Raw genomic sequence first — 25,405 nt, 5'->3', positions numbered from 1 at the left:
TGCACTCAACTTCTCTGCCTTGATCAAAGTTCCTGTCACAGACAAATACCCCCATCTTGCTGCAATCTGATTTTCTACTTAGCTTCACCAGCAGAACTCATAAATTACTGTCTATTTAGTGACATGGTATGCAATAATATTTGCTCTCCTGATGCCACTCTGAATAGACGTCATTAGTCATCCTCTCCTGCCTTCTCTGTCCACATTTATAATCCCTAAGTCTTGTGCTTTTCAGCACAGAAGATGGAATTTGTTGAAAGCTTGGCCTCTGCCAAGGCCACCACTAACTCCTACAGCACCTTAGAGTGAAATAACAAAAGGTGCACCTGTCTCAAGATATTTGGCTGTCACCTTCCAGAAAATGTTCATAATAAATATGGAAACCCTAAAATTTCTGCCGTATGCATGGTGCTCCCATAGATGCAATGCTCTTCGATTGTGCACAACCTGCAGAGCTGTGATTCCCTTGTCACCCACAAGCTGACCATCGACATCAGTAAATGTGTTAACTGAACCCGTGGACCACAATAGAGACCAGACCTTAGGCTCCCAACAGATTATGAAACGTTCCCATTCCCTAAATGCTATTTTACCTATACCTAGAGGGACCAGCTTATCCCAATTTTCCCAAAACGGTCCCAGTTTTAAAACTGAAAGTCCTACATCCTGGGAATCCCTTTGGTCTGAGGCAAACCAGAATAGATGTTTCAGAGATTTCCCATCTTTGCCCTTGTAAGAAAAAAGAAACTGGATGTTTCTACCATTGTGAAAGACAGTGTGGCGATTCCTCAAGGATCTAGAACGAGAAATACCATTTGACCCAGCAATCCCATTACTGGGTATATACCCAAAGCATTATAAATAATTCTACTATAAAGACATATGCACACATATGTTTACTGCAGCACTATTTATAATAGCAAAGACTTGGAACCAACCCAAATGCCCATCAATGATAGACTGGATAAAGAAAATGTGGCACATATATACCATGGAATACTATGCAGCCATAGAAAAGAATGAGTTCATGTCCTTTGCAGGGACATGGATGAAGCTGGAAACCATCATTCTCAGCAAACTAACACAAGAACAGAAAAGCAAACACCACATGTTCTCATAAGTGGGAGTTGAACAATGAGGACACATGGACACGGGAATATGACACCCCAGGGCCTGTCAGGGGGTGGGGGTGGGGACAAAGGGAGGGAGAACATTAGAGCAAATACCTAATGTATGCGGGGCTTGAAACCTAGATGATAGGTTGATAGGTGCAGCAAACCACCATGGCACATGTATAGCTATGTAACAAACCTGCACGTTCTGCACATGTATCCCAGAACTTACTTAAAGTAAAATTAAAAAAAAAAAAAAAATCCTTGATGTTTTTGACTGAAGATGGCAAGAGAATGATTTCTACAAGTGGACCAAAAAGGCTCAATATTATATCCCTGGGAAAGAGGATATGGAAGATGGAAGATTCTGGGCACCTACTGTGTACCAGGCATTGTGCCAGGTGCTATGGGTATTGTATCGGGTAGTCACTAATCATCACAAAATTCCGTGGGGTGTGTTATTTTCCATTTTTTAAAATTTACATAGTATAAAATTAGTTTTGGGAGAGTGTACAGTTTTATGAGTTTTAATAAATAGAGTCGTTTAAACACCAACACAATCAGGACACATGAGAATTTCATCAACCAAAAAGTTACCTTGCGTTACTTCTGTATAGTTAAATCCTTCCCCACCCATAACCTTCAGGATGTATTACTGACTCTTTTCAGAAACGTTTATTGACACTCGAAGTGGTGAACTTATTTGCAGTAAAAATATTCAAACATTTTAGTCTGTCTGCCTTTTGCAAAGCTCTGCCTTTTCCCTGACTCGCATACACAGTTAGTGTGCAAGTGTATTTCTTGACAAGACAAATGAAGGAAAGACCCAGGTAAAATGGTGCCTCCTTGCTGAAGACTCTCCAGAGTGTTCCCTGCACCAGGAGAGTACAGTGTTGGACAGGGGTGTGGAGAAATCCTGGCAGGCTGGACTGAACATGGAGGCGGCAAGCCCTCAGCTGTGCCCTGGAGCATCAGCCAGGAACTGCCTCATCAGCGATCCCTGGCCTGGTTTTGCTGCACCCTAGGGCATAACATATCCAATTATCTCCAGGGATACAGTCAAGCAAAGGAGAGTGAAGGGGGGCATTGCAAATGACAGAATCTGCTGAGGATAGGAGGTAAATGGGTAAATGAAATGGGCTGACACGCCCTCAGCCTTGAATTGGGAGTGAGCTGCTCTAGGAAGCTTTGTGTTTTGACATCTTACTATTTTAGGCATAACTCAGAAGGGCTTAGGTGCAAAGAAGAGTGTCTAAAGAAGGATGGCAAGCTTCTGTTGGTTTGGCTCAGTAGAACCAGGTAGAAGAAAAAATCAGCCACACAGGCATCAGCGATCATTCTCAGTTCTAGCAGAAAATGAACGTACTAAGTGGGACATTGAGGTAGGTTTCATAGTCCTATGGACTGAGTCAGCACAGCAGAACACAAGAAGTCTGTGACTTGTGGTCATGTGGTCTGAGCCTCCCATGGGCTCAGCTCTGTGGATAGGAGGGTGGGTTGCACTCGCAGGGAGAGTTAGTCTGGGGCGGGTACCAGATGATAATTTTATTCTAAAATCTATAAAGCATATCATCAAGGATAAAGAAGGTTCCAGTGACAAGCACTGTCTGCCATTTATCATGATGCTGGCACTAGCTCAGCCTACCCCTCTTAAAAAGTTTCTGGGTCAGGCGCGGTGGCTCACGCCTGTAATCCCAGCACTTTGGGAGGCCAAGGCAGGCAGATTACCTGAGGTCAGGAGTTCGAGACCAGCTTGACCAACATGGAGAAACCCCGTCTCTATTAAAAATACAAAAATTAGCCGGGTGTGGTGGCACAGGACTGTAATCCCAGCTACTCAGGAGGCTGAGGCGGGAGAATCACTTGAACCCAGGAGGCAGACGTTGCGGTGAGCTGAGATCATGCCATTGCACTCCAGCCTGGGCAACAAGAGGGAAATTCCATCATCTCAAAAAAAAAAAAAAATCCAAAACTTTCCCATTGAATTATAATAAAACTCACGTTCTTGTCCTTGGTCCACGAGACCTTGATTGAACACCCTGCCCCAACCCCAAGCCAAATCCACATTATTTGTCATCCTCCTCTTATTCTCTCTGCTCTGGAGAGCCTCCCTTTCTAGAGGCTCTAGAACACAAAAAGCTCATTCCATCCCAGGGCCTCCGCACTTGCTGTTCCCTCTGAATGGAACATTCCTTCCCCAGCTCTCGCCAAAGCTGGCATCTGCTTATCATTTAGTTTTTAGCTGAAATGTATTGGCCAGAGATCAGCAGGGACACACCTCCTGGAGGTGAACAAGTTGGGTTTATCACTTGTTGCAATGAAGTGAATGCATACCTGGAAGTGTGCATTCCTGTGGGACATTTCAGGAAGAGGATGTTAGGAAGGACTCAGAATGTGGGCTGTGTTTGCTGATTTGAAAGAGGCCCTAAGGAGGTGAGGCTTTGTTTTAGGTTGGACACACTGGGAAGTGGTATGATTGGATATCTTAATACATCTTACCTATAAGAAGGGAAGATCAGATAGAGGCTAGAGCTGTAATTGGCAAAGAATCAGGCCGCTCATATTAACCAGAATATGGGGGTGTTTGGTCATTTTTTTGGCTTGGACAATGTTCATATCTTTGTCTGCATCCAGATACAACTTGCTTTTGTCTTGTTCCATCGTGGCCTCAGAGCGGCCTTGCCTGTGGTTGGTCTTCCGTGCAATTGTCCACGTTCAGCAGGAGAGCACCAAGGCCTACCTGTGAGTGCCAGGTCAGCTCCCAGAATTCAGGGGCTGCTTTTCTCCCTCTCAGATCTCCCCTTTTCAGAGTTCTCCCCACACCACCCTATCTAGTCCCTTGCCCGGGTCCCTGTCTATCCCAGCACCTGGCATCCAGATGGTCACTGGGGAAGGAAGGAAGTGAGTGAGGGAGGGAGTGGGGACAGACTCAATGTATATTCTTGGGCAAGTCATTTCCTGTCTCAGGACCTCACTTTGCTGATCTATAAAATGAGTCAATAATTTTCTCAAAAGATCCTTCCAAATCTGACTTTTGAGGATTCTATAAATACCACGGCGCAGCTCTCCAGGGATAAGGACATCCCCAAATACATCTTTTGAACTAAAAAAAAAAAAAAAAAAAAAATGACTGCCTTGGAAAAACAACACTGTTGAAGAGTAGGAAACATTTCCACACTCAGAGAGGAATGTAAAAATAGGGCCCAGCACTCTCAGGAGAAGAGAATGAGAAAAGGAAAGCGGAGATTGATAATGGATGAATATAATGAGATGGCAATTTTGGTTTCAAAAGAATGTGATTAGCGCCTAATGACTGCCACCATTCCCTGGTCAATCTACTGTAACTAGCCACTAATGGAAAAATAATGCCCTTAGCTTGCTCACTTTGAAGATGGAAATGAGTCTCTCTTTCATACTTTTCCCCCTCATATTTTTTTTGCTTCAAGAGATTATCCCTTATTAGATTGTAGCTCCCTAAAAAGGGAAATGGATGTGTGATCAAAGTCTGCCAATTACGGGGTCATTACCACTCCCTCCCAGAGGCTCTATTAGGCATCCCTCCTCTGCTTTTATCAACATCATCACAGCCCCCAGGCCTACTCGGTCCCCTTCAGCCCCCACTAAGGGAGACAGAGGCTCCCAGGACCATGACAGGGCCTGTGTGGTTTCCCACGAACTGCCACCCACTTATCACAACTGTTTTGTTCGGTTTAGGATTGTTGAGGGATAGGTGCATGCTGGGGTGTCTCCTGGAAGGCATGGTGTTTGTTGATGGTGAGAGGACCCCAAACTGCCATTCAAGGATTCTGGGAGTGAATACAAGAGACTTTCATGAAATCTCTGCAGGATGTCACAGGACAGAGAAAGGGCACACATTTATTCTGTGGGGCCCCATGAGATGGCATAGGCAAAGTGCAGTGAGGTTGAGTAAAGAAAAAACTCTGGTGAGTCTGTCCAAAAGTGAGGCCAAAAGTTGGAGAAGTGGTGAGCTATCTGTCATGGAGGTTATCCAAGTGATAGATGCTATGGATCCACTTATCAGCTGCTTGGAAGGCCATTGTGGATGGGAACACAACTAGGCAATTTTCAAGGTCACTGACACCTCTAAGATCCCAGGATATTTGCCCTCTGAAAGCACAGAAGCCACCTCATTCACTAATTATTCCACTCATTCATTCATCCTAAATAGGTCTTTCAAGCACATCTGAAGTATAGAGCCAGCATCGGGTTCTGGAGATACAGTCGTGACAAAGATGCTACCCTTTCCTTGAAGAAGCCTATGACCAAGTTGAGAAATAGAGTTAAATTATTAGATGCAAAGAAGTCTATCTAATAATAGAAGTAACTGGCTTTACCTGGGGATGCAGTGGGGTGAGGGAGAGTGAACAGAGAAGATTCCACAAAGAAGATGCTTACGCTGAGTTTTGAAGGACATGTAGGAGTTTGTCAGACGGACTCAGGTGGAAGGGAATTTCAGGTAAAGGGAACAGCATGCGAAAAGTCTTATAAATTTTAAACACCTTATAACTGGTAGGATAGATATAAGAGCAAGAAGTGATGCTGCAGGGGCATTTGGGGTGAAGTCATTAAGGATGTTGCACTAAAGAGTTTGAAATTTATCCTGAAGGCAATGGCAAGAGGAATCACTGGGTCCTATTCACATTTTAGAAAGATCTTTCTGATTACAGTGGAGAATGGATTGGAGGGGACAAACCCAAAACAAAAGGAACCAATGAGGAGACTCATGGGAAAATATTTTAAAGTCACTATTTGCAAAAATTATGGCTGCATAGTAGCATCAGCTGGGGAGTTTTAAACACTACCAATGCCTATGTCCCACCCCAGAGAGTCTGACTTCATTGGTCTTGAGAAGGACCTTGGCTTTGGGAGTTGTAAAACCTGCCCAGGTGATTCTAATGTGCAGTCATAAAGAGACCTTAAGCTAATGGTAACCCAAACCCTGGCACATGGCAAGTACTCAACGCAATTATTTTTTCAAAAAATTAGTATGAAAACAGTCATGCTATCCTGCTTTTGGCTTCACCCCACTTTCAGGGGGACATGTTTGGTTGAACAATTGGCTTTTATCACAGAGGGTTTCAGGTACAAAATCCACCCTCAATAGATCAGCTTTGACATCCAGAAGTCCAGTGCTACCACTGAGAGCAGCAACCTCCCTTCACATACAGAGAACAGACCTGGCAAGTTGCCTGGAGGAGATGGAGTTACCTGGCTGGGATAGAAGAGGAGGCTAGGGCTGGAATCTGAGTTCTAAGAGTTACCTGCAGTAGCTAGAAGCATCTTCCACCTAGAGATGGCCTAAACTGGTGGCAATATGGATGCAAGGTTTGGTAGAATGAGGAGCAAGAAGAGAAATACGAAAAGGAGAAGAAGGAGAAAGAACAAGAGGAGAAAAGTGAGAGATAAGCCCCACATTTGTGAAATGAGCACTTACCTATCCTTATAACATTTTTGCCATACCCAGATTTAGGTCAGAGATTGGTGCCCAAAACCTAGCACCTGTATTGCTTCTCTTCCAGGATGTTTGTCTAAGGGCGTTGGACACAGAAAGAACAAAATTATGACCCATTAATAGCTAGGAAGGCACTTTATTACCCGAATCTAAAACCTAAGAAAGGCTAAGTTGTAGAACATGGCTCAGCCTGAGAAGCCCAGGAAAGGAACTCCTTCCTGTGCCCTCTAATGAATCTTCAGTTGCTAGGTAGCAGAATGAGCACTAATTCCACCTACTCAGCCACTGCATAGATGAGGATCATAGTCATGCTTCTAGAATAAAGGTCAGCAAGCTATAGCCATAGGCTAAATCCAGCCCAACATCCATCTATCTATCTATCTATCTATCTATCTATCTATCTATCTATCTATCTATGAGACAAAGTCTCACTGTCACCCAGGCAGGAGTGCAGTGGCGTGATCTCGGCTCACTGCAACCTCCACCTCCTGGGTTCAAGCAATTCTTCTGCCTCAGCTTCCTGAGTAGCTGAGAGTACAGGCATGTGTCACCACGCCCAGCTAATTTTTGTATCTTTAGTACAGATGGGGTTTCACCATATTGACCAGGCTGGTCTTGAACTCCTGACCTCTTGATCCACTCACGTCAGCATCCCAAAGTGCTGGGATTACAGGCGTGAGCCACTGCGTCTGGCCCCAACACCTATTTTTGTAAATAGAGATGTATTTGAACATAGCCATGACCATTTGTTTGATTTTTATATGTGACTGTTTCCACTCTACAACAGTAGAGTTGAGTATGAGTTGTTGCAACAGAGACTACACAACTAACAAAGCCCAAACTTCTTTCTAGTTTGCCCATTACAGAAAAAGCATTCCAACTCCAACTCTAGGAAAAGACTCACCCAGGTTGACTTAACACTTGAGAGACCAGATGCAAGAAAGGTAGAACCATGCATGAGCACTGGCCTGTTAAGAACCTGCCAATAAAACAGGGCTTATTGAGGGGCTGAATTTCTGATCAACCTGGTTCAGGTTCCTCCTTGCTTAGGATAGACCTAGTAAGGAATAGATGGGCAAAGGCAAGGCTGGTGTATTAAAATGAATGGTGGGTTCTCCTCCTGCACTGCTGACAGAGAGCTGTGTAGACTGAAGGTGTTACAAATTCAGTCTCAGAAGCAATGAAAGGGCATGAGCAGGATGTTCAGCCTATTCTACTAAATTTAGGGTAGAGAGAGTAATCAAAACATGGTCTGATAATCATGCTTCTGCAGCTTTTCTATAGCTGTTCCCACTCCCTTAACTGCCCGTCCTCCCTGTCTGTGAAATAACTGACTGCACCCTTCCCTGTGTTTCCATACCACTTGACTCATAACTCTTGTAAATTGTCTCATGTTTGTTGACTTGTCTGTCTTATCGGTGGTTGCCATCCTCTTAAACTGATTGATGACTTCTATCTCTTCCCTATCCCTAAGCTCTGGGTGTCCATGTCCAACTTCCTATTCAACATCAGCTTGGATGTCTAATGGACATCTCCAACGTGGCTGCCATTTTTGTTATTTTGAACATGTTTTTAAAAAAGTGTGCAGTATTCAATGCTAGGCACTCTACTAAGCACTTTATGTACCCAAAACACAACACTTAATTCTTACCTCCCCAATCCTGTTTCTAACCCAGGCTTCTCCATCTCAATAAATCACATCTCTCCCCCCTCAGTTCTTCAAACTAATGATCTAAGGGTCAGCCTTCTTTCCTCTCCTTCCTTCACAGTCAGGATCTATGGCAGATGGTGCCCTGCACACATCCACTCTACACTCACTGTTCCCACGCATGCCCACCTTATGGCTTCCTCCTGTAAGCACCTGTGACTTTTTGCCTGAGGGCTTCTTCAAGACAGAAGAATATGCACACTCTGCCCACAGAGCATGGAAGAAATGCTGGGGAGTTTCCAAGAGTTGTCCTCAACCAATACTGGATGCGAATTGATCAGTAACTACCCCAACTTTGTGCCAACCCCATGGTGGGATAACTCTAAGGCATGAGATGTGCCCATTGGATTAGGCCCCAGTTGCCCACAGTGGTAACCTGCTCATTGATGTGCTCTATATTGACTTCATTCCCTTGATTGTGCCACTTCCACATTCTCCCACCCAAACTCCCTGGGAGTGCCTCCCAAACAAACTACTTGTGCCTGACTTGTTATCTCTGAGTCTGCTTCCGAGGCAACCCAAGTCAACAACATTCAACTGAACATCCTGCAAATAATCACTTCTCATATGTCCACCACCACGGTCTAAGAGTCCAAGGTACCATCATGTGTTGCCTGGAGTACTGCCACAACTTTTTTTTTTTTTTTTTTGAAACAGAGTCTCGCTCTGTCGCCCAGGCTGGAGTGCAGTAGCGTGCTCTCAGCTCATTGCCAGCTCCGCTTCCCGGGTTCACGCCATTCTCCTGCCTCAGCCTCCCAAGTAGCTAGGACTACAGGCACCTGCCACCATGCCCGGCTAATTTTTCTGTACTTTTAGTAGAGGCTGGGTTTCACCGTGTTAAGCCAGGATGGTCTTGATCTCCTGACCTCGTGATCCACTCACCTAGGCCTCCCAAAGTGCTGGGATTACAGGCTTGAGCCATCGCGCCTGGCCACTGCCACAACTTTCTAGCAGATCTCCCTGCTTCCTCCATGCCCCTCCCAGAGCCTGTGTTCCATACATGAGCCAGATTGTACTTTGTAATACATGAATCAGATGATTCCCCTGCCCAAAACCCTCTGATGGTTTTTCATCACACTTAGAATAATGCCCAGTTCATTAACCAGTAATAGCAATGTCTTATATAATCTGGACTCCCCCATCCGCTCTAGATACTTCCATCACTACTTCCCTCTTCACAACACTCCAGTCCTTGAATATGGTCATTTGGTTGCTGCCTGACCATCTTTGCATCTGCTGTTCCCTCTGCCTGAAAAGCACTTTCTACTTTTCTTGGTGTGACTGGCTGTTTCATATTAAGGAATTACAGTATCATGAAGGAATTATAGTATCTATCATTAATGAAGTCCCCCTTATCTGCAGTTTTGTTTTTCATGGTTTCAGTTACCCAAGGTCAATCTCAGTCAAAAAATATTAAGATATTTAGAGAGAGAGAGAAAGACTGCATTTATATAACTTGTAGTATATTGTTGTCATACTATTTTATTATTGTTCTTAATCTCTTGCTATGCCTAATTTATAAATTGAACTTTATCATAGGTATGTATGTATAAGAAAAAACATAGTATGTATAGGGTTCGGTAATATCCATGGTTTCAGGAGCCCCCCCACTGGGGGGTCTTTGAACAAATCCTCCAAGGATAAGGGAGGACTACTGTAACTAAAATGTTACCTTCTTGGAGAAGCCCTCCCAGAGTGTATAATCTGAAATAATTCTCATTCCTCATCACTATCCCTTTATTCTGCTTTATTTTCATCATAGCATTTTTCATATCTAAAATTACACATTTACTCTTTTATTACACATTTACTATATTTCCTAGTTGACTGGAAGCTCAAGGGGAACTTGTCTGTTTCTCTATATCCCTAGTACCTAAAACAGTGCCCAGCCCATGTTAGGGGCTCAGTAAGTATCTGTTGAGTGTATGAATGAATAATTCAATGAATGGACAAGCGATTCCCCCACTGGGCTAGATTGTGAACTCATGACACAGAAGACATCAATAACATTTGAAACAATGAACAAGAGAATAGGTCCAGGGACAGACAAAATCTATGTCCTCCCCAGGCCCCATCCAAGGACATCTATCCCTTTCCACTAGGAGTCCCATCGCAGTGGGTCTTACTTTGCCCTGTTGGTTCATCTCCACTTCCATAAAGCTCCTATCTCAGGCCACTCTAACCACTCTGTCCTTGCTTTTTAGGCCTTACCAGAGGGGCAGACAGCTTCGTGGGACACAGCCAAGGAGGATGAAAACCGCAATAAGAATCGATATGGGAACATCATATCCTGTAGGTGCCCTTCTGGGAGCTCCTAAGCTTCAGGTGTTGAGGATGCAGGGGAAAAGAGGCTATTACTATTATTTACCTGGAATTTGTTATCAAATAATCTTTGCTGTCTCTAGCTTTGTATCTACATGCCAAGATGGAAGCTTTATATCAGCCTTACTGCCATCCCTAGACTGGATGACAGAGCATGGCTGATCTCAGCCAGAGGGAGCAGGCAGGGAGATGGGTCAGGGCAGAGCAGAACCATGAAGCCTCTTGGGGAAGAACCTCTGAAGGCTGGGTCTCACCGAGCATTGCCTGCTCAATTCCTCAGGTCGGGGAAGAAGCCCAGCCAAAAGGGCTGACATGCGGAAGACCCCACAGCTGGATAAAGAGATGAGCTCTGTGTTCCCAGAAGCTCCTCTAATTCAAAGGAGGACTTTGGCAGCAACCTGGGGTGAGGAGCATGGGCCCCAGCCTGTGAGGGAGGGGCTAGGAGAACCCGGGCAAGAGAATGATGCTCCTCCAAGAAGGTGGAGTCACACTGGCTGATGCTTGGAAGTAAAGGCTGATGCTCAGAAGAAGCCAGTAACTCTGGCATACACCTGGGGCTTGGGGTATGCCCAGCTCAGGCCTCACAGGAGCCCGGGGCTACTCCTATAGTATGAGAGACAGAGTTTAGGGCAACACAGATTCTACCTGTCCCCACTATAGTAGGGCAGGGGCTCTGAGGTGAGGGCCTGCCCTCAGGTCTGCATCAGTGCACCTCGGGAGGTACTGAGCCTGCAGGGGAAGGCATGTTACGCAGAGCTAAGGAAGGACATTGCCTTTGCTCAACAATGAGCTTTACCTTTCCTGTAGGCACCCCCAGTGAATGACTCATTGATGAAGTCAGCGGTGCAGAGTAGTTAGCGCCCTCGGGAGTCAAACTGCCCAGGTTTCTATCCCAACTGTAGGGCCCTGGGAAAGTTACTTGACCTCTGTAAACTTTTGATTCCTCCCCTTTACAATGATGAGGATAATAGGAGGAGCATTTAAAGGTACATAAAACTCTTGCTACAGTGCCTGGCACCATTACTCTTAGCCACAGGGGTACTTGCTTGAGGTCACTGGTGAGCAGCATGGATCTATCATTCCACCTTATTTTATTAACCAGGATTCACTGGGTACTCAGGACATGTCCTGTGGGGACATAGAATAAGGCAGGTTGGTTGGGGAGAGGTGGGCATGATCAGATGTCCATTTTGGAAAGATCACTAGGGCAGCAGATATGGAAGGTATACTTGATTGGGAAGGGCTGGTAGCAGAGGGATCAGTCAGCAGACTACTGCAGTAGTCTCACCAAGGGATGATGGGGCCTGAACAAACAGTGACAATAACTTGTGTGTGACAGGTGCATGGTATTCAGTTCTGGGGGGTGAGGAAGAGAGAGACTGCCACAGAACTGAATGTCATGCATAGGTAACACACAAGTATTGTCACTGCCAAATATTCGTAGGTACAGCCTTCAAAGTAAAATAAATACAGAGAAGACAAAGTTATCTCGTGCAAAATGCTAAGCATGTATTCTAATTAGAACAGGAGTCTACAACAGCCTTTGTCTGACTCAGTGTAACCAACCTGGACCTTTTGACATCTCACCAATGGTGTGGGGAACATCCCTGGGTCTCAGCTCACAGAGTAACCCAGTTCATCCAAAAGAAAAAAAAAAAGGATCCTGAATGACAAATTATTTCTAGCACAATTCAGAGTTTTGTTTTGTTTTGTTTTGTTTTAACTGTCTAGACATTGCCTAAGAAAAAACTTGGAGGAAGAAAGAGTAAGATACAGGCAGATTGTAAAGGAAGAAAAAGGCAGAAGTTTTAGCTTAGCTGTTTCCTGTGCTGATTTAGGAATGGGCTATGAATGGTAGAACTAATCAGAAAACATTTATAATTTCTCTCTTGGAAGATGGTAATTCAGACAGCAAGATTTCTTGCAAGTGAAGTGTTGAGAAGTGATATTCAAACAGTCAGCAAACATGTATTAAGACTTATGACATGTGGGCCTCCTCAAAGCAGGCCCTGTGATGGGCACTGGGAGGTGGAGCTCCTGCTCCTGGGGAGCCCCCACTCTGCCACAGGGAGCTGCTTGCCCTGTCTGGTCCCCAGCATTCTCTGCTCCTGCACTGTGGACACTGTACCCTAAAATATATAGTCACTTATCTGATAAAGCCTATGCCTGAGACTCTGAGCTTGCTTCACCCTAGCCCTGCCCTGCCTGCATCTCTTAGACTGAGGACTTTCTCCAAAGCTGGGAAAGGATCCCCTGCCCAGGCACAGGCAGCCTGCAAATCCTGAAGGGTTAATACCCCCAGGAGAAGCCCTCCACCATGAAATACCCCAGCTTCTTCACCGTTCTCCTGAAGTTCCTTCTGGAGTTCCCACAGGGATGAGAATACAGCTACCTGCAGTCCTAATGGGCTTGAAAACTCACCCTTAATAAGCTGCCTTCTCTTCCCTGTCGTACATCACCCCTTTCCTACTGGTATTCCTGTCTCCTCCTACATAAACTGCTTGGACTAAAATCTCTGTCTTAGATCTACTTCTGAGGAACCCAAATGGAGACAGAGAGAACTGAAGCACCTTGACGATACCACCTTGATGGGTTTAAATAAACCAGAATCTCCTTTCTAATTTAAGAGTCAATCATTCTGCAAGAGATCAGGGCAAGAGCAGGTCTGCATTCAGTGCTGAAAGAAGACAGTGCCGAGGTAACCAGTGAATTCAGAAAGCAGCGCAAGACATAAAGGAGAATCAAGAAAAAAAGGGAAATGGAAAAAAAACAACCTGGAATTGAAATGGGATATGTAAAAAAGAAACAGCCCCAAGGAATGGAAAGTGTTCCTGCCCTTGTATGCGTCCCTCCCAAAGGCAAAGCCTGCCGAGGCTTGATAAATAGAAATATTCTTGGCGCAAGAAGAAAACTGGCTGTGATTAGCATCTTAAGGAACCCAGAGCACTGTGAGGCTGGAGTGGAGGACAAAGGCCCAGGCCAGGGAGAACAGAAAAGATTAAAGGGGACAAGTAGGAGGGAGGGCACTGCCTACAAAAGAAACAACAAGAGACCTTGGCGAAATATCTCCTTTCTTCCAAGTGATTCTATTTAGAATTTAGTAATAGAGACAGTGGGGTTTCTAGGGAGTGTAAATGGAAAGGAAGTGAAAGGGAAGGAAATGAATGGGTAAAATAAGAACAAAGAGACCTTTGCTTCCAAGTAACTCTAGGGCAGCGACTGTTGGCAAGGGGAAATTCAAGAATCCCAAAGCATTCTCCATGTAAAGTTTTAGAGGTGCTTCCTAGACTGGCAGGAAGGTGCTGACACTGAGAAGCTGAAGTGATCACAGGGGTTGCAAATGTTACAAAATGAGGCCCCCTTCTGGGATCAGTTCTTTATAAAGGTGTAATCTAGATGTAGAAAGACTACAAGGGATAGTGCAGTACCAAAATTCCATCCTCAGACCAGGAAGGATTCCGTAGGAGGGGTTACCAGGACCCAAAGAGAGATGACCTGACCAGAGGTGGGTGCGACCTTTGGTGGCAAGGCAGCCACCCATGGTGACCCCACCAAGGGGTGCTGGAGGAGTAAGTACCTCCATCACACTCTCCTCCCTCCACCCAATCTTCTGCCTGTGCTTTCCATTGGCTGGGGCCAACCAGAATCCAGAGAACAGGAGATCTGTTGACCTAATCCAGTGGTTCTCAAAGTATAATGCCTACAGCAGTGGCATTAGTGTTACCTGGGAACTCATTAGAGGTGCTAATTCTTGGGCTCCACCCCAGACTTACTGAATCAGAAATTCTGAGGACAGAGTCTAGCAATCTGTATTTCTAGAAGCCCTCTAGGTGATGGTGACGCATGTGCAACTTTGAGAATGTCCAATCTTGGCCATAGCAATCAGCCTCCTGGATTAGAGGGCCAGATGAAGTGGAGAGGGGGTCTGCGGGCACACAGGATATCAGCACATTTTCTGAGACTTATCTTCTCCCAATCTAGGAAAAGCCACTGGGCTCAGGTGTATTGGGGTCTTAGACATGAGGTCAGGCAGTCCCAGGTTTTCATCCCAGTTCTGTTGTTTACCTTCAGCACAATCACTTCACCTCACCCACCTTCAGGTTCTCACCCATCAGATGGCTCTAGGGCAGCTCTCAGGATGGAGAGGCCAAATTAAGCTGAATGATTATTAAATCTGAATCTTGTGTGGCCCCTTAAGTCACAGACTTTTAAGTCTAGATGAGTTAGTGTAGCCTTTTTGAGTTCACAGGCAAGAAGAGAGAGCCCAGAGATGGACTGTGCCCTGCCCGAGAGCACACAGCAAGTCTGTAGAACAGCCATGACCAGAGCTGTGGTCTCTTGCCTGCCAGGGTAGGGTGGCACATATTCCTTACCAAAGAGTCCTCTCTGCATCAAGTCACATCCATGTTCCTGGGGGAGAATGTGTTGCTAAGGCCCAACCTCAGAGCAGATGAGCTCTTCAGAGAGGCCCATCTTTTCCAGAAGGAGGTGGGGCTATGGAGTGCAGAGAGGACCCTCACTCCTAGTGAGGAACTCAGGTTCAAAACAAAACCCAGAGGACTTTTTTCACAGCAGGTTTCTCTGCTGATTCCTGGGGAGACAGAGCTGGGGGTGACAGAGTGGGTGCCTTATTCAATGCTCCTGACTCTCAGCCTCCATTCTTCTTCACTGTCTCTGAGGGTGGCCATTGCCTGGGTCCTACAGATGCCTTGTGGTGCAGAAACCATTGGTACCCTGCCATATCCCCAAACACTCACTACTTGCATGTGTGCTAGTGCTAATTCAAATTGCCAGCACCTTTGCTTCTTTTCCTAAGGACTTTTTCTGGCCACTAGAGCCTTCTCTGCCTTCTTGCAGGGCAGGCCCAAAGAGCCAGAATATTAAATGTCCCCAGAACCTGCCCTCAATTAATGACTGATGGAAGTGGGTATATACATACCCCAGCTCCCTCTCTGCTTAGGTAGAATGACTCCCAGAGCTCCTCAGCCGAATTAAGCCTCAACTTGCTACAATGGCAACTTGCTGAATGACACACCCCTATTAGATTTCTTCTTTCTCTGTCTCACTTCCCACTCCCCTGCTGGTGTTTCCTGGGATCACCCCCCGACAACAACTACTTGCATCCAAATACATATCTCATGTTCTTCTTTTGAAGAAATCCAAATAAGAAACCTCCCTCCCTTCCTTCAGAAAGGCCCCTCAGTGGGGCAGTGCCTGGATGGCATCCTTAGGACACAGGTGGTCCTCTCTTGGTGCTTGCCCCTCTCAACTCCAGTCCCCTTCAGTCCCCTCAAAGGTTGCATCTACTGGAGCAGCTCCTCCCAGGACCCCACAAAGGGGCGTTTTCCAATTTCAGCCAGCATGGATCTGGCAGGACAAGGAGGTACACAGAATGTCGGGCTGTCTCTGCATCATGCCCAAGCCAGCCTCTCTTGATAATGGTAATTCAATCAAGATTGAATGTGCAGACCTTTAGCTTCAGTGAGGTACCCAGGCAGTCTCAGCAGAATTACCTGCCTCCTCCTTATCCACTTTTGCAAGATGATGGCATTAACATTTCCAATACTTGTAGGAAATGGTTTTTCAGCTCCACAATTCATTGTAATGAGTCAAATCTCTTTTCTCTGAAAAAAAAAAAAAAAAAAAAAAAAAGCACTGTTCTTTACCCTCTGTAGTGCCCAGAAGACAGGAAGAAAGAATATCAAGTATCCAAATAATATTCTCTCCCCAGCCCCACCTCTTTGAAGTGATTCTCTCTTTAAGTGGATGTGGGTTGAGATGACAGGTTTACTGGGCTATCTTTGGTGATGGAGGGAGGGAGAAGGAGTTGTGGTTTGTTCTGAGAGTTAGAACTGTATGAAAGAGGAAAGTGAACCCTCTCTCTCGGGTGGCCATGAGACCTTAGTGGGATGAGGACCAATGTTGGAGACTGAGAACTTAGAGGAAAGTGGAAGCTGGAGAAGTGTGGCATAGAAGGGTATGGAGGTCATGGATCTCAGCGTTCCAGGAGGAGTGAGGACCCTACAACTCTATAAAGAAGCCCTCATCCCTATACCTTCTCCTGAGTTATTAAACTTTTTGGAGCCTTGAATTTCTCATTCATGAAATGGGATGATGGTATAGACCTCACAGGGTTACTGTGAGAATCAAATGGCATGGCATCCCCATGGCATTTGATAAGTGCCTGGAACATCTTACACTTTTCACACAGCTAAATTTCCGTATCCCACCACCTGGCACAAGGTGAGTCTCTAGTCTTATGGCCCATTTCCAGTAAGATCTTCTGGTCTTTCCCAAGACAGATTGAAGTGAATAACCAGAGCACCTCTGCACTAAGTCACTAAACATTGGTCTGTATACTCAAACCTGAACGTGTATCAGAATCACCTGGAGGGCATATTGAAATGCATATTGATGGGCCCCACCCCACAGTTTCTGATTCAGTGAGTCTGGGCTGGGGCCCAAGAATTTCCATTTCAAACAAGTTCCCAGGTGCTGCTGATGCCATTGGCCCAGGTCTAGAATAAAAACAAAACTGAATTTATATAGTTGTGTTAATTTCTTACAACATACCAGGTGGGTTCATATTTTACATCTTTTAATCCTTGCAGCAAGTCTGCACAGCTATATATGATTTGGATGTTATAGCTGGGTAAACAGAGGCTCAGGGGAGGTGGTAACCTACCCCAGGTGATATGGTTAGGGTGTGACAAGCCTCAGGTCTGCCTTCAGACTCCACCCAATCCATAACCTCCCTTCTGCTAAAGGCAAGAATTGGCTGCCAGTCTTTGGAAGGGATAGGCTGGGTCTACAGGTGTGGTGAGGGGTCAGCTATGAGGAGAGGAAGAATTGGAGCCCAGGATCCAGGCGCAACTGCCAGCTTGGATGGAGGTGTTCTTTGAACATGCAAAGGCCCTGTGGTCAGAGTGAACACAGTGCATTTGAGCAACTGAAAGAAGACCACAGTTATCAGAGCAGTATGTGAAGCTGGAGAGAGAAGTAGGTCCCAAACCATCAGATCATGCAAGACATTGCAGGGTGTGCTAGGCTTTGTCCTCTGTCAGTGGTGTTCTGTAGCTGACTCATACCAGCTTGCAAAAGCAGATTGTTAAATTTTCAGGAATTTTGTGAGGTGGTTGATGCTATGTTGGTAGCTTGAAATCGGTCATGGTGGGAGTATTTACACCACAGAAATCAGCAGACATTACTGATCAGGGCCTTTTTTCCCACAGGGAGCTGTATGTTAAACATTTACCAGCATACTAGTGGTCTTTGACCTCAAGCAAGGAACAGCAGATTGATTGCAAACTGAGTGATGATGTTCCCCTAGACTTGTGTTAAAGGGAGCTCTTTGAATTTATGTGTCTTGGTACCATGTCTCCCTTCTACCTTCTGCCACCAGTTCCCTCCTCGCCACAGCCAGCTCTTGCCCATCTCTCACCTCAACTGAGAGCCGGGGGAGCCAGGCTGCACCTTCCCCTCGCCTCATTGAGGAGTTTGCTTCTCCTCCACATGACTCTTCTTAACTCCTCTCCTTGTCTTGAATATCAAACAAGGAGTACCAAATTAGCTGTTTTTCAAGCTTGCAAAATGTAGATAGAGCATAATGAACATTCTAGGCTGCTTGTAAATTACCTCGTATAAACGCCTTCACATCGCCTGCCGCCCCATCTTTCTCCATGTGCATGTGGGTAAACACAATTTTTTATCCTTCTAATTATATAAAGTTAGAAGAAGAAGGGGACACAGAATAATATTAGCATCTCCCAAAAGGAATAAATAAACCATGAGGACACTGCCACTCCTTGCAGTGCCTTTGTGGTGGACCTACAGCTGAATTCCACCCTTTAGTGAACACACACAATAGTTCTTTGCCTCTGCAGATAGATGGATCTGTATTTGGTACAGAGGTCAAGTGGAGAGCACCAAGTTTCTAAGTATCTCTGCTATTAGCTCACTGCCTGCCTCACATTCAGCCCCAAAACCATCATTTATTAAGCACCTGCTGTGTACCAGGCATTGTCCTAGCATTTTTCTTTAGAGCAGTTTTAGGTTTACAGAAAAGTTGAGCAGAAAGTACCTCATTCCCATGTACTCCCTCCCACCCACATACTGTTTCCCCTATTATTAACATCTTGCATTAGTGTGGTACATTCATTACAATTAGCTAATATTGATTTATTATTATTAGCTAAAGTCCATAGTTTATTCAGGTTTGCTTTTTATGTTGTACAGTTCTATAGGATTTGACAAATGTACAATGACATATATCTACTATTGCACTATTGTATAGAATAGTTTCACGGCCTTAAACATCCTCTATGCTTCACCTATTCATCCTTCCCTCCTCCCAAGCCCCTGGAAACTACTGATCTTTCTCCTGTGTCTAGAGTTTTATCTTTTTCCAGAATGTCATATAGTCAGAATTGTACAGTATGTAGCCTTTTCAGATTGGCTTCTTTCACTTAGAAATATGCATTTAAGTTTCCTCCATGTCTGTTGCAGCTTGATAACTCATTTCTGCTTCTCACTGAACCATAGGCCATTGTATGGATATCGAATGAATGCTCCTTCACTTACAGTGAGGTTATATCCCCATAAACCCATAAGTTTAAAATATCATAAGTCAAAAATGCATTTAATATACCTAACCTGACAAACATCATAGCTTAGCCTAGCCTACGTTAAACATGCTCAGAACACTTATATTAGATGATTAGTTGGGCAAAATCATCTAATACAAAGTACATTTTATAATAAAGTGTAGAATATGTCAGGGAATTGATTGAACACTGTACCAAAAATTAAAAACAGAACGTTTATATGTGTACTCAAATTAAGGTTTCTACTGAATGCATGTTGCTTTGGAACTATCATAAAGTCAAAAAAACCTAAGTCTAATCATCCCAAGTGAGGGACCGTCTGCACCACAATTTGTTTATCCATTCACCTATTGAAGGACATATTGGTTGCCTCCAAGTTTTTGCAGTTTTAAGTAAAGCTGCTATAAACATCCATGTGCAGGTTTTCCTATGGACATAAGTTTTCACCTCATTTGGGTAAATACCAAGAAGTACAATTGCTAGATATAGTATGGTAAGTGTATGTTTAGTCTTGTAAGAAACTGTCAAACTGTCTTCCAAAGTGGCTGTACCATTTTGCATTCCCACCAGCAATGAATGACAGGTCTTGCTGTGCCACATCCTCCCCAGCCTGTGGTGGTGTCAGTGTTTTGGATTTTGGCCATCCTAATATGTATGTAGTGGTATCTTGTTTTAATTTGCAATTTCTTAATAACACATGATGTTAAACATCTTTTCATGTGCTTATTTGCCATCTGTATATCTTCCTTGATTAGGTGTCTGTTCAGATCTTTCTCCCATTTTTTAATCAGGTCATTTGCTTTCTTACTGAGTTTTAAGAGTTTGTTGTGTATTTTTGATACAAGTCCTTTCTGAGATACGTGTTTGGCAAATATTTCCTCCCAGTCTGTGGCTTATCCTCTCATTTCTTAATGTCCTAGCACTTTTCACACCTATGTTTTCTCATTTAATCCTCTCATGCCATATAGTATTGGCTCCATTTTGCTAAGGAAACCAAAGCTAAGAGAGATCAATTGACTTGCTAGGTGATGGAGCTAAGATTTGAAGCCAAATCTGATCACAGCTCCATATCTCACGTCTTATATTAAAAGTTTATCTCACTTGACATAAGTTAGCTGTGTAGGCATGAATTTTGGTTACATCATAATAAAGCACCTTTCCACTGTCCCAGAAAAGAAACACTGTATTAGGCTGCCCTGCAGAGCCCAGCATGATTCCTTGAGTCTTCATGGCTTCACAGGGCATGGAGAGCCTTCTGAAATGAAACCCCCGCTGCTGCCTCCTCTGTCTCCCCTCCCATCGCTGTTCCCCTCACACTCTGTTTTCCCAGGACAGGAGACCCTTGCAGCTCCCCCACGGTGCTTGCTTTTTTCAGGATATCTGCCTTCACTCTAGCCATTCCCTCTGATGGAAAGACTTCCTCATTGTGCACTGGCCAAACCTTACTCATTTTTAATTCCTCATTCACATGTCACTACACAAAGCCCTCTATTCCCCATCTTCTAGATTTGGAAGTTTTGCTTCTGCATACAGTCTGTCTCCACTAAATTGACAAACTCCTTAAACATGAGTATCACATTTGATAGCACTTTCTTAATCCCTTCAACTAGCCTGGCACATAGTAGGTGTGCAGTAAACACATTCTTAATAAATGAAGGAGAGACGTTGTCAAACACCATCATCTGGTGGCTAGAGATCACTTTCATCCATAAGTACACTTAACTAGAATAAATAAGTTCGTTTCTTTTTGTTTTGTTTTTAATCATTTTTGCTTTCCGGTTTTTCAACTTCATTTTATATTTTAAAAATTCCCTTTCAACATTTTAAACCACAATCTCTGTTTCCAGTGCTATGGGCCCCAGGGGCAGGCATAACTCAACAAATAAAGGAGATTTCTGAATCAGTAAGTCATAATGAGACCACTGAGTGAAAACACAATGTGCATTTTCACTTTTTTGAGGCCTACAGCTTCTGGAACTGCTGGTAACAGAGGCTTGATGCCCTGGGCTGAGAGTCAGGTGCCAGGCTTTGTCTGAATTCCAGCCTGCTGGATGGGCTGTCCCCCAGGAAGTCCTCTCTGGGGCTAGAATCCTGCAGGAACTGGGGAAGAGCTGTTTGCACACACTCCAGCTGTAGTGCCTGTGAGATGCCTGAGACTCTGGGACAGCAAGTTATGTGGGCAGAGTAGGGTTTCAGGGTCAGATAAACCTAACCGAGAAGTCCTATCTCTGCCACACACATGATGCGTAACTTCGGAAGCTTGCTTAATCTTTCTGAGCCTCAGTGTCTTCATCTGTAAAATGGGAAGACTCATAATACCATATCATTCTGGTATCCTTATAATAACCTATATGGCTATTTTGAGGCATAAATGGTTGAAGGAGATAATGCATGTAAAGTTTCTCTTACCTACCATGAATCCAATAAAGGTTAACTTCAAACTCCTCCCCCATGTCACATTCCACTCTCCCACTCACCCAAAGGGATTGCTTAGACCACCCACCTGCTCCCTCTAGTTGCTTCTGCTGAAACTTCCCCCTGATGAGTAAGAAAAGTCGCATTTAGTATAACTTGCTGTCTAGCACAGTGCCTGCCTGCCACATGGCAGATACTCAGTGAATGATTCTTAAATGAATGGATAGATATGGGGTGTATCTTATACCAGCCCTAGGCCTGTTTGTCCATAATAGGACCCATTCCTTACCTTCTCCCACTCTAGTGTGCATTGCAGGTAACTTACCCCTGCAGGTTGTGTTTTTCAGGCTCTCCTGTCAGCTATTTAGGTTTAGCCAATGACATGCACTGGGAGATTGGAGAGAAGGAGAAAGGGAGAAGCCAGGGTATTACAACTACAATTGCCTTCCTTAGCAGCAAGGGAAGCACCTCCTTGCCTCCAGCTCCTACTAGAATCCCACTGTGGCTTCAGGTTCCAGCAGGTGGCCCCAGCTCCTGAGCACTGCCAACTCCACCACCTCCCTCCATCCCTTCAGCCCAAGGGCAGGCAGTGTCTCCTTGTTGCTGCTTATCTCTGAGTTTCTCCACTTTCTTCTATCTGGCTGCTCAACTCTTTGTAACCCAGGCAACCACTTCTCAGTAGTTAATTCCCTCTGCTGGGTATATCTGAAGTGGTTTCTAACATTGTGCTTACACCCCCTTTGGAAACAGGAGCGACCGAACTCAGAGTTAAGAGAACTTCACTCCTCTGTGCTCTACCATTCACTGGCCATGTGGCCAGTCAGGCTTTCTGGAGCCTCAGTTTCCTCATTTGTAACAAGGGCTAAAAGAACCCATCCTACTTCTCTTCCACAGGGTCACTGTGAGAACCCAATGAGGGCATCCAATTATACCTTTTCCATGTACTACTGAGTACCTGCTGTATGTCAGGACCTTTTAAAGGTGCAGGGGATGGAACAGGGAATAAGGCATAATGTCCCAGTTCTCAAGGGGGTTTTGGTTAATTGCAATAAATGTGCCTTGTAAACTGCAGAATGCTGTATAATTCTAAGAAGATAAGCTGATCTGACCTCCGTGACTCCCAGAAAACCCTTGGGGATGTCCAGAGCTCTCCAGCCCACATCTTAGGGACCCATTCCTGCCCTAGAGGAAGGTGAACTAGGATGCAGTGACTGCACAATGATACGTGCACAGTGACCTGGATAGCAAACCAAGGTCCCTCCTCCCAACCAGACCGAACCAATGTTCCACTTGTGTGTGTCTATTAGCGTGTCAGAGCTCACTTAATTAACTGTAAAGGATTATCCTGATTCTTCTGCTGTACTGGTTTTCTTTTAATGGTTTTTATTTGGTGTTAGTTGAAGTAAGCATGCTACCAAATAAAGCCTGCAAATCTTGTTTATGTCTAGATAGTGTTTGAAAAGGCATCCTCTATAACACAATTTTTAGTTATTGATGACCTCTTTTATAATGATTTAGTCAGCCTCACTTTAATGATAGTATTGATAACAATATATGGCTGACAATCTATCTCTAACAATACTCCAAGGGGCAAATGAAAAGCAATTTGTGCATGTGTGGAAGATAGGTAAACTTGCTGTTTTTAAACAACATGAAAATGGAGTATATTAATCCAGATGCAACACTCTCCTGTCCTAAGCATTTTTATATGGTCTCTCTCACATTGTCCTATGAAGCAAGTATTTCCATCCCCATTTTAATGATTAAGTCACTAAGACTTAAAGAAACAGGTGACTAATCCAGTTAGGTAATGACGAAATCAGAAGGGAAGGTAGAAAAATGAGAAGTGCTTACCTCCCTGAGCCTCCACTTCCTCATCTATAAATGGGAGCAGTAACTGAGGGTGGTGTTGAGAGTTAAATGAGAGTAGCACAATGCCTGATATGCAGTCATTAATAAACAGTAGTTCTAAAGGAGGACATTAGCTGCGTAAGGCCTCTTATCAACCATCCCCTTGATTTCTGCTCTCTCTGCAGACGACCATTCCCGGGTGAGGCTGCTGGTGCTGGATGGAGACCCGCACTCTGACTACATCAATGCCAACTACATTGACGTGAGTGTCTTAATGGGGCTGGGGGCTGGGGCTGGCTTTTGCAGGCTCAAGATCTGTGGTTTACCCCAAACTCTCCTCCAGAAGGTGGCCCTTCCAGAGCAGTCTGGATCCTCCTTGATATGTGGAACTAGTGTAACCCAAGTTGACTGTCCATCTACCACTGCATCCACTTTCAGGCTAGCTGTAGTAGCCTGCTCTATGGGGCCTCAGGACAACTGTTAGTCTTACTCATTCACCCCATTTATTCATTTGTGTATATGTCTGTTGATCCATTCATTCATTCACATAAACGCATGGCCATTTATGCCACAAAAATTTTAAAGTGCCTACTGTAAAATGTATACTAGATGCTATGGGAACCATAATGCTAATAATACCATGGTCTCTACCCTTTAAAACCTTAGCAGGGAGATAATGTGCACATCAATAATTCCAGGGCAAAGTAGAAATTGTTAAGTGTCAAAAGTACAGATAACATGCTGCAGAGATTCAGAAGTAGGGAAAAATATCACTTCTCCCATCAGGAATGCAAAATATGATGTGAACCAAAGCTTCAAGCACAGATATGATTTAAAATCAAAGAGAGGGGAGAGGGGCCTCTAGTTAGAGAGAATAGCACAAGCCAAGATGGAGCAACTGGCCAGGAGATACATAGCAGCTCCATTTGAGGGGAGCAGAGAATATGTAACAGGAATAATGGAAAATATTGTTGGGACTACATCAGTGAAGATTAAATGCTCAGACTTAGGAAGTGGGACTTTATCCCATAGACAAGAGGAAGCTATTAAAAATTTTTTATCAAGGAGGTGACCAGCTTAGAACTGAGCTTTGGCATGATTTATCTGCTACCAAAGATAAGACAGATCCGAGGGAAGAAATTCTGGAATTAAGACAACTACAACCAATAAGGAAAGAGGCTGCTTCAATATTCCAGAGACGACTGAGGAAGGGACTAAACTCAAACAGGAGCCAAGAAGGGTATGCATGGAAGTGAGAGAATTTGCTAAGCAAGAGCATGACTGCTGAGGTCAGAAGGACAACCCAATGTGACTGATTCAAGCCATGCATCTCAGGACCTCAGCTCACAGTCCATGGGTCTTGAAGAATGGCACAGAGATTCATACTGGTCCCCTAGACTCTCAAATGTATTTATAGATAGGCTATAAAGTGTGGTGGTGCAGTTTGTGAATTCCCCCTTAATCTAGACTAAGCCAGGTGAGTTATTAACTCAACAAATACTTATTGAGCCTTGTATTGATCATCTGACTGCTTGCCCTCAGATCTATTTTGTGTCCTTCCCTGTTCTGCCTTGCATTGCAGGGTGTGTGTGTGTGTGAGAGAGAGAGAGAAAGAGAGAGAGACAGACAGACAGACAGACAGACACTGGAGGATGATGGAAGGGCAGTGTATTCTCCATCTCACTCCCTTCCTTGGGCAGCAACTCCAGCAGTGGCTGTACCCTGTCTGTGGCTCCATCTTTCCTCAAGCAGGCCTGCCATAGTCCAGTCTCCTGCCAGTCAGCCCACTGGGGCTCTGGTTATTTCTGGACTCTGGACTCTAGTTATTTCTCCCTCTCCTGTTCTCCCACTAGTTCTAAGGGTTGGTTGCAGCCTAGTCCTGTCCCTGATCTCTGGGTTGCCCCACTATTCTCTGTTTGGC

At 44.6% G+C, this 25,405-nt stretch overlaps 1 protein-coding gene across 11 annotated transcripts in view; it reads left to right on the top strand.

Annotated features, from left to right (window-relative positions):
* Positions 1 to 25,405, top strand: part of PTPRT (protein tyrosine phosphatase receptor type T) — a 1,158,017-nt gene that overhangs the window by 1,037,407 nt on the left and 95,205 nt on the right. For all 11 annotated transcript variants that reach the window (XM_047439848.1, NM_001394024.1, NM_007050.6 and 8 more), the window contains 2 exons: positions 10,498 to 10,585; positions 23,670 to 23,746. In XM_047439848.1, coding sequence (XP_047295804.1) covers positions 10,498 to 10,585; positions 23,670 to 23,746 — 165 coding nt within the window. The remainder of the gene's footprint in view (positions 1 to 10,497; positions 10,586 to 23,669; positions 23,747 to 25,405) is intronic.

Source organism: Homo sapiens, chromosome 20 (assembly GCF_000001405.40).
Source record: "Homo sapiens chromosome 20, GRCh38.p14 Primary Assembly".
Taxonomy (NCBI): Eukaryota; Metazoa; Chordata; class Mammalia; order Primates; family Hominidae; genus Homo; species Homo sapiens.
Note: the sequence above shows the minus strand (reverse complement) of the source record. Positions and strands in the feature narration are given on the sequence as shown.